Source organism: Homo sapiens, chromosome 1, assembly GCF_000001405.40.
Source record: "Homo sapiens chromosome 1, GRCh38.p14 Primary Assembly".
Classification (NCBI taxonomy): Eukaryota; Metazoa; Chordata; class Mammalia; order Primates; family Hominidae; genus Homo; species Homo sapiens.
The window spans coordinates 15988944-16002972 of NC_000001.11; the positions used below are offsets into that span (position 1 = coordinate 15988944).

At 54.2% G+C, this 14029-nt stretch overlaps 1 pseudogene, besides 3 other annotated features; it reads left to right on the forward strand.

The window, feature by feature from the left end:
- Positions 4953-5793: an enhancer, noted in NCBI's record as "H3K4me1 hESC enhancer chr1:16320391-16321231 (GRCh37/hg19 assembly coordinates)". NCBI's record gives its function as "activates a minimal SCP1, AML or CMV promoter by ChIP-STARR-seq in naive H9 embryonic stem cells {active_cell/tissue: H9 hESC(naive)}" and the evidence as "EXISTENCE:reporter gene assay evidence [ECO:0000049][PMID:30033119]".
- Positions 4953-5849: a biological region, named in NCBI's record as "H3K4me1 hESC enhancer GRCh37_chr1:16320391-16321231".
- Positions 5700-5849: a silencer, noted in NCBI's record as "silent region_320". NCBI's record gives its function as "represses an Ori minimal core promoter by ATAC-STARR-seq in GM12878 lymphoblastoid cells {active_cell/tissue: GM12878}" and the evidence as "EXISTENCE:reporter gene assay evidence [ECO:0000049][PMID:35858748]".
- Positions 5871-6333, forward strand: TBC1D3P6 (TBC1 domain family member 3 pseudogene 6; annotated as a pseudogene).

Below are 14029 nucleotides of genomic sequence, written 5' to 3' on the forward strand. Positions count from 1 at the left end.
TCCTACTCATGAACCTCTCTCTCCCTGTCTCTCTCTTTGCCTTTTGTGTCTCTCTCTCCCTCGTCCTCTCAGCCTCCTCTGTCTCTGTCCCCATCTCTCTTCCTCTCTCTCGATCTCACTCCCTTCTTCCCATCTCTCTTTCTCTCTCCTTCTTCTCCACTTCTCTCTCCCTCCTTTTCTCCCTCCCTGCCACTGTTCAGGCTTCTGGGCCCCCCTGGACAGGTGCACACAGGACTCCTAGACCACCTTTCAGGACACATGCACAGGGCTGCAGGACCTTGGTCCCCCACCTCCCTGTGCCCTCAAGGTCAGGGGTGTGGGGTGTGCCTGGGCTTTCCTGGGCGGGTGCCCCACGCTCCATGAAGTAGAAGTTGTAGGTCACCATTGGCTCGAGTGGTGCACCCACCGGGCTGCTGGCTTCCTCCTTGTGATCTGCTGAGGCCAAAGCAGAGGACACCTTCCCAGGCCCGACCCTGCGCCAGGGTGGGGTAGGGGTGGGTTTGGAGGTCAGCATGGGGATGGGAGCAGTCACTGCAAACGGGTCCCTGGCTGGCTTCCTGCCCTGCACTATGCCATGCAAGGCCTCCTCTCCCGCCCTTCCCCCTACCCCACCGCCTCCACCTCTAGAAAGCCCCAGGCACAGGCTCCATAAGTCTCTGTGGATCCAGGAACTAAGGGCATCCACTGGGCTCCAAAGCTTGGCAGTGTCGCACACAGGACAAGTGCTCTCAGGAGACATTTTGGACAAATTGCTGAAATGCCTGATGGACATGGCTCTTGTCACAAAATGAATTTGCATCCTGAGGAAGCCTCTTCTTCAAAGGAAGTTTCCCCAGTCACCTCTGCCCTCTCCGATGACATGAATCGTCCCAGGTGACCTCAGCCCTCCCAGGTGATGTCTTTCCACCATAACTCTGGCTCTCTCAGGAGGTAGACTACTGCAGGGACCTGAGCCACGTCGCCGCCTTGTTCCTCCTTTATCTGCCTGAGGAGGACATATTCTGGGCACTGGCCCAGATGCTGGCTGGTGAGAGGCACTCCCTGCAGGGTGGGTGGACAGCTGCCCCCAGGGCCTCATGCAGCCAGACCCGGGGACGGCCACCCTGGGCAGGTGATCTCAACTTTCCGTGAAGGCACCTTCCTTGTGTTGCCAGCTTGTTTGGAGCCTTTAGGATGTCTCTGTTGAGGGTCCTGGGGCTGAACCGGGACCCCCAGATCCTGAGTCAGATGCCTCTCACCCCCATCAGCAGAGGGCATCTCATCATCCCCGTGGCCACCCTCTGTGTCCTGGAGCAACGCCCTCTGGCTCTGAATGCTGTACAGTTGACTCTCCCCTCCCTGAGGGTCCTGCCCTCCAGCTGCCCTTGGTACCCACAGATGGGCCGAAAAAGCCCTGATGGCAACATCTCCCCATCCCGTGTCCCCTGGCCCGACCCCACTTCTAGGAGACCACCATGAAGCCCAGCACCCGCCCTCTGTCGTGGCCTCAAAGTCAGGCTTGCCCTCCCAGCACCCTGGCCCAGGAGGCCTCCAGGAGCACCTCCAGCCAGGCTCCAGGGGATATTCCCACCCCTCCTCCCCAGGGCCAAGGCCGCATGGTGGGGTCCCCAGATGAGAGGGTGGGAGACCTCAGGGTTCAGGGGCCTCTGCAGCTGTCCAGCTCTTCCAGCTGATGGTCCCACATCTTGGGAGCAGGCTGATTTCATGATGGGCTGGGGGCTTCTCAGGATTCCACAGCCCAAATAGCGCAAGGGTCCAGGGCCTCCAAGACCACCAGGAGCATGTGGCACCCAGGCCATACCCCAAGACCATGAGGCACGCAGTGAGTTTATGGTCCCCCCAGCTCTTCCCCAGTGGCCCTGCATCCTGTGGGGCCGGAGGAGCCAGGGGCTGCCAGACCCTCATGGGGCTGGTGAGAGGGTGAGTTCTAGCCAGGGCCTGACCTGGGACGTGGGGTTCTCCATGGATTTGGAGTTGGGTTTCCTTTCCTGCCCTGGAGGAGACAGAGGCACAGGGACTGGGGCCAGTTCCCACAGAGCAGGGCTAAGGACAGTGTGTCCACCAGGAGTGCAGGGAGGGGAAGGTGTAAGGAGCCCTGGACACCGCCCAGTGTTCTGCACTTGGGGAAGGGTCTTCAGAGGGCCCTGGAAGAGGGAGGTTTTTAGGGCAGCCCAGAGGGACCTGAGCACCTCTGTTCCTCCCATCAGGACAAGGAAGGGCTATGCATTCAGGGTTCCTCATTAGGTTGGTTGCTTTGGAGCTTGATCAATGGGGTAAGGAGGCACAGGGAGACCCTGGCTCAGGGACCCTCCTTGCCCTACAGGGCCCTGCTCTTCGCCCAGGGGTCCGGTTCACCCCCAGCACATAGGAGGCACAGGCAGATATCTGCAGGACACACAAGCAAAGCCCTCTGCCCAAGAGGGGTCATCCCACGGCAGAGGCTGGGACTCAGGCCCAGCCTCATGGGCAGACTGGGCCAGGACCCACTTGGGAGGGCTCAAGGAAGCCTCAAGTCCTGGGGAAGCCCCTCTCTCCAGAAGCCACATCCCCACTGAAATGAGTGCTCCCCCATGAGGAGCTGCAAGACCTTGTCTGACCCAGCCTCCTGAAGGGGTCTGATGACCCTCATGGGAAGGGTCAGTGACTGGGGGACTGAAGCCCCAGTGGGCCCGGCTCGAGCCACCAGCCCCCAGCCTGGAAGGGCCAGGTCCTCCCACACCTGCTGTCCCCACAGATCTCTCTCGGGCTCACCCTGAGCCTTTGGGACGTGTATTTGCTAGAAGGGGAACAGGTGTTGACGCCAATGGCACGCACTGCCTTTAAGGTTCAGAGGAGTAAGTCCACGTGTGCCCAATGGGGACTGGGGAGCACAGGGGTCAGACCCTGACTGGCCCGGTGGCAGCTTCCTCACACTGTCCCCATGATCCTCTTCTCTGGCCCAGAGGGAGGTCTGGCTGGGTAGGCTGGGCAGGGAACAGTGACATACCCCCTCCTGTGGGAGCCCATCCCCTACATGACCCAGATGAAAGTCAGGAGTGTGGTGAGCACTTCCCTGCTCAGGCTGCCCCCTAGCCACAGCCTCCTGTGCACATCTGGACCCCTGGGGTGGCCACAAAGGGATCCGGCACTCCCCAGTGGGAGATGCTGAGGTAGTAACGGGGTATGGGCTCTGACCCCTCCCAGGGAACACTCCTAGCCTGATGCCTACCCTGTCCCTAGAGCACCTCGTGAAGATATCCAGGTGTGGCCGTGGGCATGTTTTCAGGACCAGTTTTCCCATACCTGGGCCCTGGATGATGATGCAGTTCTCAGACACCCTTGGGCCTCTATGAGGAAACAAGGAAGCCTGGGGACCTGCCACCCCCAGGTGGCCTGCAGCACCAGGTACCCTCCCGAGTCACCCCCTGGGGCAGTCAGTAGTTGGGGAGTGCCCAGGACCTCCAACACTACTACTTGGGCCTTCCTCTTCGCCTTTTCTTCCTCCTCTTCCTCCGGACTCTAAGAAAGTACAATAGGCCCCCAGGTCCTCAGGGCAGGTGGTCAGTTTGTGTGTACCGGACGTGCTGTGCAAGCAGGAGGGGGATGTGCGCAAGACTCTCCAACAAGCCCCCTCCCACTTTCCACCATGTCCCACTCTCCCCTTCAAAGGGCCCTCAGGGTCATTGGAGGAACCAGATCCATCTATGGGACTCCCCACCCCTCCCTGCGAGCACTGACAGCCTCAGAGAGCAGCAGAGGCTCCTCACTCCTGAACACCCCTCCAAGGGTGCCAGGACAACAAGCCTTGAGCCAGAGAGACAAGGGAATCTATGTCCCTGATCCCCGACCAGGGCGTTTAGTGGGTGGGCACAGGGGGGACCCCTGGCCCAGAGCCAGAGCCAAGAGTTCAGCCAGGTGTGGGAACGGTCAGTCCTGGCATGGACTGGGCAGCCCAGGAGGGCAGAGGGGGCTCTGTATCTGGGCTCTCTCACCCACCGTGGAAACAGGTCTCCATGTGAGGTGGCGAGGGGACTGGGTGACAGCCAAGGCCCCTCCCACCTGAGTTCTGACTGGAGGCTGTATCCCAGGCTCAACAGTCCTGGGATGACGGCATGGGGCAGGAAGCCCCCAGCCAGCCTGAACTCTGGGGGAGGGCAGTCCCAGGAGCCACCTGCTGCACCCCGACAGCTTCCCACCACAGGAGGCACAGACCCCTCCGTCTGCGATCAGCAGCCTGCAGGTGTGTCCTCAGTGTCAGACCACAGGGGCTACACAGAGACCCTGAGGACTCCAGAGACCCAGGCAGGTGGAGCCCGGCCAAGAAAGGACTGCGTGGGCTCACTGGAGATGCTGACCACGTCTGTTTCTTTCAGCCAAACCTGAGCAAGGGTCCTTGGCACCCAGGCCTGGGCTGGCTTCACCTGGCAGGAAGACCCTCTGGCAGGGGGACAGGCAGGCCCCTCCTGGCCCAACAACTCGGTTCCAGTGGCCCATTTGGCCAGCTTCCCCGCCATGGGTGGCCCGTTTGGTCAGCTTCCCCTCCATGGGTGCCTCGTCCTTTCATACCCTGTCCTGATGGGACTATCTGTGAGGCCAAGGCCCAGTGGCACGAGGGGGCTTCCATGGAACCTAGGGCAGCAGGCCATTCTCTGGGGGCACCGGGGACTGAGGGTGTGCCCAGCCTGGCCCTGGCTCAGGGGGAACCTCAGGTTTCCTGGAGGTTCCTCCAGTGGAACTCCATGCCACGGCTCCATCCCTATGAACCTGGATGTGGGGGGCCCTCGTTGCCCCCCGTTATGATTTTGAACAGAGCTGCTGGGTCCAAGTCCCTTCCAAATGTGTCCTGGACAGCCCCAGGACCATGGGACAGCCTAGCCCAGGAAGCCCATGGGGACCCCGAAACCAGGCCCTGCCCAGGCCCATCAGGACTAAAAGGGAGGTCGGGAGATACCCCGACTGCAGCGTGGCACCTGTGTCTGGCCCGCTCGGTGGTCAGTGACTGGCAAGTCTGGAAGGGGTCAGGGTGGCACCCCGCAAGCTGCACCACAGCCCCAGACACCTCGGAAAATCCCGTTCAATGGGGAAGCCAGTCCCATCAAGGCCACGAGAGAGAAAGGTGAGCATGGCATCCCCGCAGCCCCGGCCAGCCAGCAGCATGCCTGGGGCCTCTGTCCCAACCTGTGGGACAGTGTCCCCCTCCCAAGGCACAATTCCCAAGCCAAGAGGGGTCTGGACTAGACCCCAGCCCTGGGAAGTGAGGGGCACCAGGGGTGTGGTGGGCTCCCAGCTGCAGTGAGCATGACCATGCAGGGGACCCTGGCACTGCGGAGCTCTGCACTGTCACAATTCACCTCGCAGAAGCTGGGTGAGATCCCGAAGCCTCGCAGCCACTGCTGGAGCCACAGCAGGCGCCCCCACCACGTGCCTTCCAGCTGCTGGTGCAGGCTTTCCTGACAGCAGGGCGCCCTGCAGCCCTCGCCTCAGCAGCTCAGACTTGGAAGGTATCTGTGGCTCAAGTTCCCAGTGCTCCCACCGAAGAGAATTACTACGGAGGATGCTCTGGGTCCTGAGTCGAGCAAAATGGCACGCCCTATGGATGCAGCCTGCTTCTTTCCCGGCCACCACGCCTGCTGGATGCGCCCACCGAGCAAGTGGTCTTGAGACGGTCATGGGGACGGAAGAGGTTCAGCATCCTGCACGGGCCCTTACCAAGGCTCACTAGGCTGACACCATGGCTGAGCGCCCTCTCTATTGACAAGAGACTTGCACCCAGTCCCTGGGATGGACCAGCTGGCCACCTGCTGGCAGGCTGGTCACACTGCGGAGGGGGCTGAGATTGGCTTTCACTGCACTGACCCATAATGTGGACATGGACCTGCTGGCCCTGCAGGGCACACAGCACTGCTTCCGACTAGGGGACCCCATTCACAGCTAGAGACATGCAGCAGTGTGTTCCCACCTCAGGGCCTTGGCTCTGCCACCTCTACTTGGAATGTTCTCAGTTCCCTCCAGGCTTCTAGAAGCATCTAGGCCAGGGCTCATGACTGGATAAACAACCGAATCCCCACAACCCAAACAAGCTTTTCATTCTCATTTTATTTGGTGTTAAACTTAAGAAAATGTATTAAGACATGACTTACATCCCTGGTAAGTGTGCAGCTCGAAAGACATTCACAGATGGAACACACCAGCCCCCAGATCACAAAGCCAACCATGGCCAGCCCCTCCAGCGCCCCCGGCCCCACAACCAGTGTCCTGACTTCCGTTGACACCATGAGCCTGTCTTTTGTACTTTACACTCATGGAAGGATAAACACTTTCACGTTTTAAAATAAATGTTTACTTTTGAAATGATTCTAGATACACAGAAAAATTGAAAAGACACTGTAGTGTACTCTACACCTTATACCCAGCTGCCCCTAGTAATGACATTTTGCATTACCATGGCACATTTGTCCAAACTAAGAAATGTGGGCTGGCTGTAGTGGCTCACACCTGTAATCCCAGCAATTTGAGAGGTTGAGGCAGGTTCACTTGAGCCCAGGAGTTTGAGACCAGCCTGCGCAACACAGGTAGGCCTTGCCTCTAGAGAAAAGTAAAAAAAAATAGCCAGGCATGATGGCGTGTGCCTATAGTCCCACCTAATCAGGAGGCTGAGGCAGGAGGATTGCTCGAGCCCAAGAGTTCCAGGAAGCAGTGAGCTATGATCGCACCACTGCACTCCAGCCTAGGTGACAGAATGAGAATTTATCTCTTTAAAAAAATTAATTTATCTTGGGTGCAATCCTGTTAACTAAATAATAATGTTAACTATTATCTAAAGTTATTAACGCAGTAATTATATTAACATAGTGAAATTTTTTCAGATTTCATCCTCTTTTGCCTAACTTCTTGTACCTGTCCTGGGATCCCACCTCAGACTCACCCTCTGCCTTTAGGTCACTTCTCCTTAGCTTCCTCCAGAGGCTACAGCCAAACACACACCTGGGCTGAATAGTAGAGCTGGTTGCTGCTGGGTTCCAAACCTCTGCAACATGTTACTGTACTAAGTACTATAGGCAATGGTAACATAATGGCGGCTATTTGTGGGCCGGGCATGGTGGCTCATGCCTGTAATCCCAGCACTTTGGGAGGCCGAGGCGGCTGGATCACCTGAGGTTAAGAGATTGAGACCAGCCTGGCCAACGCGGTGAAACCCCGTCTCTACTAAAAATACAAAAAATGGCTGCCCAGATATCTGCTGGGCATGGTGACGGGCACCTGTAATCCCAAATACTCAGGAGGCTGAGGCAGGAGAATCGCTTGAACCTGGGAGGCGGAGATTGCAGTGAGCTGAGATCGCATCATTGCACTCCAACCTGGGCAACAAGAGTGAAACTCTGTCTCAAACAAACAAGCAAACAAACAAAAACAATGGTGGCTATTTGTGTATTTAAACACAGAAAAGGATCATAAAAATACAGTATAAATGATAAAAAATGGTACACCTGGCCAAGTATGGTGGTTCATACCTACAATCCCAGCACTTTGGGAGGCCATGCTGGGAGGATCACTTGAGCCCAGGACTTCTAGACTAGTCTGGGCAATATAAAAAGACCCCATCTCTTTTGAGATATCAATTTTTAGAGATGGTGCACCTGTATAGGGCAGTTCCATTATAATCTTATGGGACCACCATCCTATGTGCATTCTGGCATGGACTGAAATATCATTATCTGACATGTGATTGCATAAGTAATCTAGAGATGATTTAAAGTCTACGGGAAGATGTACTTAGGCTATATGCAAATACTGCACCATTTTATATCAGGACTTGAACATCTGTGGATTTTGGTATTTGTGGAAGGTGGTGAAACTGATTCCCCTACACACACCGAGGGACAACTGTAAATCTTCCGGGCCCCATAGAAGGCTCAATTCCCTGCACCCCCACCCCCAGATAAGCATTCTAAAGTGTTTGTTCACTTTACCTGCTCATCCGTGAGCCAGAGGGTTCCATCAACAGCTTGGGCTGTCTCAGAGAGACCTGGATTCAATCCCATTCAGCCACTTAGTGTGTCACTTTGGACAAACCATGTAACTTCTCTGAGCCTCAGTGTCCTCATCTGTAAACTGGGTTGATCATGGTCCTTACCTCACAGGGCCACTGTGAGATGAAAGCTGACACCGCGAGTGACACCACTTCTCTCTCCCTCAGACTCAACAGGAAGATGCCTTTGCTGCCCAATGCGAAGGTTATGGGGAGGACGCGAGGCCCCAAGGTTCCCCTGTCCCAGGAGCATAAACCCTGGATTTTTGCTTCCAGAAACAACCACCTCTAGGATGAGGATGGCTCTCAACTCCCCAAAGCCTGTGCTACCACCCCACAAAGGCAGCGTCTTCAGCAGTGGGGAAGGGGCTGCACTGCGCCAGCCTCACCCTGGCCACTGTCTGCCCTCATGAGTCAGAGCCCAGCTAGGTCCTCAAGCAGAGCAGTGCAGAGTCCGGCCCCAGTCCCAGGCTCCAGGCATCCCTGCCACCCCCACCTGCCCCCACCAGCTGCCTCCATCCCTTAGCCCCTGCTTCCCTCCTTCCCAGCTCAGGATGTCTTAGCTCCTTACATGTCCCCATCATCTGTCTCCTCAAGGGGAGTGCAGCACAAGGGCAGGGAACTCGGCCAGTCTATGGCTGAGTCTCCGGTGTCTGGGAGAGATTAGAAGCTCAACACATACTTGCCCAGTGTCTGTGTGCATTTCATCAAGCAGAAGACAGCTTTGGAAATGAGAAGAGACCCTCCTGAGGCGACAGTCCTTAGCTGCCATTTCTCAAGTATTCTTGGCGTGCCACGCACTAAGCTGGACCATGGACATGCGAGCTCTGGAACCCGTGAGGTGCTGTCACTCATGCACAGGTGGGTTGGCTCAGCCCTGGTGCAGTCACATAGCTCCCTGCTAGCTGAGCTGAAATTGGAACCCATTCAGTTTGGCTCTTGCACTGCACAATGGCTCCCCAGCTCCTCTGAGTGAGAACTAAAGCCTTGCAATGCCCTCAGGTCATTGAACCTGGGACTTCTCTTCCTGAGCTGCCTGCCGCTCTTCCCTGCTCACACCAGGTCAGATGCAGACCTCCCCTCTGGGCCTGAAGCATATCAATCATGCTCCTGCCTCAGGGCCTTTGCACAAGCCATTCCCACTGCCCGGAATGCTCCCTGCCCAGATATCTGCTTGGCTGACCCATCACCTCCTACAAACCTTGCTCAGATCTTGCCTCATCAATGAGGACAACCCTGGCCATGCGTCTAGAGGGCGTCCAGCACAGAGTATGTGCTCAATACACAGGTGAAGAAGGAAGAAGGAAGGGATGGAGAAGAGAGAGGTGAAGGAAGGGCAGAATGCCTATGGCCATTTTTATTCCAGTGATAACTAGTTGCAGTGAATACCTAAGGGCAATGCAGACAGGGCAGAAACAAAGTTCACAAAAGGCCAACATGAGCAGGGTGGAAAAATGCAGCTCTACTCATCTGTCCTGGTGCAGATTTGAAGACTCCAGATGTGTCACATCTGGGCAGTCCCTTCTCTGCCCCCTCCCCTCTGAGCTCTCCTTCTACCTCCAAGCCTGGCCCATCTTCTAGGGATCCAGGACAACACAGGAAACAGCTGTGCATCTCCCAGGACACTGGGAAAGACTGCCAGTGGGGAAGATGCTCAGTGGCCCTTAAAACTCATCTCGGTTTTGCTCCAACTGTGCAGCCCATCCACTCCTGTGAACAGGAAGAGCACTCAAATGAGAGCCCAGACACTAGACCCTATTCCTCTTGACATCTGAACATCTTCCCCATCCCCAGCATTTCCCAGGGTCCTGGGAGAGGGACAGCTGTCTCGTGGATTGTCCTTCTTCACCTGTGTATTGAGCACATACTCTGTGCTGGACGCCCTCTAGATGCATGGCCAAGAGACAAGAGCGACAAGAGCAAAACTCTGTCTCAAAGAAAAAAGAAAAAAAAATGTGGGCCAGGCACAGTGGCTCATACCTATAATCTCAGCACTTTGAGAGGTCGAGACGGGAGGATCACTTGAAGCCAAGAGTTCAAGGCAAGGTCTGAGCAAGGTTTGTAGGAGGTGATGGGTCAGCCAAGCAGCTATCTGGCCAGAGAGCATTCCGGGCAGCGGGAATGGCTCGTGCAAAGGCCCTGAGGCAGGAGCGTGATCGGTACGCTTGAGACCCAGAGAAGAAGTTTGCATCCAGCCTGGTGTGAGCAGGGGAGAGCAGCAGGCAGTTCAGGGAGAGAAGTCCCAGCTTCAAAGGCCTGCGGCTGCTGCAAAGCTCTAGCTATTACTCAGAGCAGCTGGGGAGCCAGCAGAGGGTCCTGGGCAGAGAAGGGTTCAGCTGTGGCTCGGGCGTTAATAGGCCACATCACACCTTTGGGGAGAAGAGGGGGACCAGTTGGTTAGTCCAGGTAAGTGATGAAGGGTGCTCAAACTAGGTGGGAGAAGGCAGGTGGTGAGAAGTGTCACCTCAGGATCATTGTGAAGGTGCCACCTGCATGATTTGCTCGTGGACTGAATTTGCTCAGATGGGGGTGTGGAGGGAAAAGGAGAGTCCAGTCCACAGGCCCGATGAGCCACGCAGGAGTCAGACTGAATGGGTTTTATTTATTTATTTATTTATTTTTGAACAGAGTTTTGCTCTTGTTGCCCAGGCTGGAGTGCAATTGTGCGATCTTGGCTCACTGCAACCTGTGCCTCCCGGGTTCAAGTGATTCTCCTGCCTCAGCCTCCCGAGTAGCTGGGATTACAGGCATGTGCCACCACACCCGGCTAATTTTGTATTTTTAGTAGAGACGGGGTTTCTCCATGTTGGTCAGGCTGGTCTCGAACTCCTGACCTCAGGTGATCCACCTGGCTTGGCCTCCCAAAGTGTTGGGATTACAGGTATGAGCCACTGCGCCCTGCCCTGAATGGGTTTTAATTTCAGCTCAGCTAGCAGGGACCTATGTGACTGCACCAGGGCCAAGCCACTCAGTCTTTGTGAAGACTGGGTCTTGCCATGTTGCCCAGGCTGGCAAGGAACTTCTGACTTCAAGTGCTCCTCCTGCCTCGGCCTCCCAATGTGCTGGGACTGCAGGCATGAGCCACTATGTGCAGTTTAAAAAATAATTTTTGACTGGGTGCGATGGCTCATGCCTGTAATCCCAGCACTTTGGGAGGCAAAGGCAGACTAAGCACAAGGTCAGGAGTTCGAGACCAGCCTGACCAACATGGTGAAACCCTGTCTCTACTAAAAATAAACAAAAATTAGTCAGGCGTAGTGGCGTGCGCCCATAATCCCAGCTACTGAGGAGGCTGAGGCAGGAGAATCGCTTGAACCCAGGAGGCAGAGGTTGCAGTGAGCCGAGATTGCGCCACTGCACTCCAGCCTGGGTGAGAGAGTGTGACTCCATCTCAAAAAATAATAATAATAATAATAATTTTTAAGCCGGGGCAACATAGTGAGACCCTATCTCTACAAAAACTTTTAAAATTAGCTGGACATAGTTGCATGAACCTGTATTCCTAGCTACTTGGGAGGCTGAGGCAGGAGGATGGCTTGAGCTCAGGAGTTTGAGGCTCCAGTGAGCTATGGCTGTGCGCTGTGCACTGTGGCACGCACCACCAAGCCTGGCTAATTTTTGTATGTTTAGTAGAGATGGAGTTTCACCATGTTGCCCAGGCTCACCTAGAACTCCTGGGCTCAAGTGACCCACCTGCCTCGGCCTCCCAAAGTGCTGGGATTACAGGCGTGAACTACCGTGCCTGGCCAATAATAATTTGTAAATTTTAGAACAATTTCCAATGTATTGAAAAGCTGCAACGGTTGTACAGAGCTGTATACACCACATCCAATTTCCCCTATTGTCAACACGTTACATGACCATAGAATGTTTGTCGAAACTAAGAAAGCAACATCAGTACATTATTAGCGTCTAAACTCCAGGCTTTATTCAGATTTCACCAGTATTTCTGCAGTGCCCTTTTCAAGATGCAATTCAGGATACCTCCACTGTAGCAAGTTTTCATGTCTGTTTAGTCTCTTCTGGTCTGTGACAGTTTTTGTCTCCCATTGTTTTTCATGATCTTGAGAGTTTGGGGATTGTACATGTATTTTATGGAATGTTCCTCAGTTTGGATTTATCCAATGTTTTTCTCATATTTAGACTGGCGTTAGGAATTTTGGGGTAGGAGACCACAGACATAAAGTACCCTTCTTGTCCTATGGTATCAGAGGTGCCTGCTATCACGCGTGTCCAGTTACTTCTTTAAAAAAATTGTGGGGCCAGGCTCAGCGGCTTACGCCTGTAATTCCAGCACTTTGGGAGGTCAAGGCAGGAGTATCTCCTGAAGTCAGGAGTTGGAGACCAGCCTGGCCGGCATGGTGAAACTCCATCTCTACTAAACATACAAAAATTAGCTGGGCGTGGTGGCAGGCACCTGTAATCCCAGCTACTCGGGAGGCTGAGTCAGGAGAATCGCTTGAACCTGGGAATCGGAGGTTGCAGGTTGGAGTGAGCCGAGATTGCACCATTGCACTCCAGCCTGAGCGACAAGAGCAAAACTCCGTCTCAAAGAAAAAAAAAAACTGTAGGCCAGGCATGGTGGCTCACACCTATAATCTCAGCACTTTGAGAGGCCGAGATGGGAGGATTGCTTGAAGCCAAGAGTTCGAGACCAGCCTGGGCAGCACAGTGAGACCCTCCATCTCTACAAAAGGTTTTTTAAAAAATTAACCAGGTGAGGTGGCATGAGCCTGTAGTCCCAGCTAATCAGGAGGCTGAGGTGGGAGGATTGCATGAGGCCGGGAGGTCGAGGCTGCAATGAGCCATGACTGTGCCACTGTACTCCAGCCTGGGCAACAGTGAGACCCTGAAGGAAGCAAGACATTGTAGTAAGATATAAATAACCCAGTTACTTTTTAAGTCATGTAACACAGGCAACAAAATTTAGCTAAAATTTAATTTTTAAAATTTTCTTTGTTATTTGCATAGTGTATTAGTATTTTATTGATACTAAATAAATTATCAGAATTTAGGAGTTTAAAGCAACACAAATTTTTTCTCTATAGGTCAGAAGTTCAACGTGGGTCTCACTGCGTTAAAATCAAGGTGTTGGCAGGAAGGTTTCTTCTTGGAATTTCCAGGGAAGGATCCCTTTCTTTGCCTTTCGCAGCTTCTAGAGGCTACTGGCATACCTTGGCTCAGGACCCCGTCCTCCGCCTCCAAAGCCAGCAAGGGAGGGTTGAGTCCTCACTTCATATCTCTCTGGCCTTCTTCCGTTATCACATCTCTCTAATCCAGCCAGAAAAGGTTCTCCGATTTTTTTTTTTTTTTTTGAGATGGAGTCTCGCTCCCATCACACAGGCTGGAGTGCAGGGGTGCAATCTTGGCTCATTGCAACATCCACCTCCCAGGTTCAAGCGATTCTCCTTCCTCAGCCTCCTGAGTAGCTGGGATTACAGGCGTGTGCCGCCACGCCCAGCTAATTTTTGTATTTTTAGTAGAGACGGGGTTTTGCCATGTTGGCCAGGCTGGTCTCGAACTCCTGACCTCAGGTGATCCACCCTCCTCGGCCTCCCAAAGTGCTAGGATTACAGGCGTGAGCCACCACGCCCGGCGAGGTTCTCCGATTTTAAGGACTCATGTGATTAGATTGAGCTCACCCACGTAATCCAGAATAATTTCCTTTTCTCAAAATTCAAACTCTTAATCACATCTGCAAAGTCCCTTTTGCCAAATAAGGTAATATATTCACAGGCTTTGGGGATTAAGGCGTGGACATCTTTGGCGGCCAACTTGGCTACCAGGCATAGGTACCTCTTATTTCTGGAAGTGATACTGTTTCTATTTAATATAGCAATACCAAATTTCCTTTTAAAGTGCATTTCTTTCATCTGGGCCAGTAGCAGATATAAAATAAAATAGGTTAGGTGCGGAGGCTCACACCTGTAATCCCAGTACTTTGAGAGGGTGAGGCAAGCAGATCACTTGAGGTCAGGAGTTTGAGACCAGCCTGGCCAACATGATGAAACCTTATCTCTA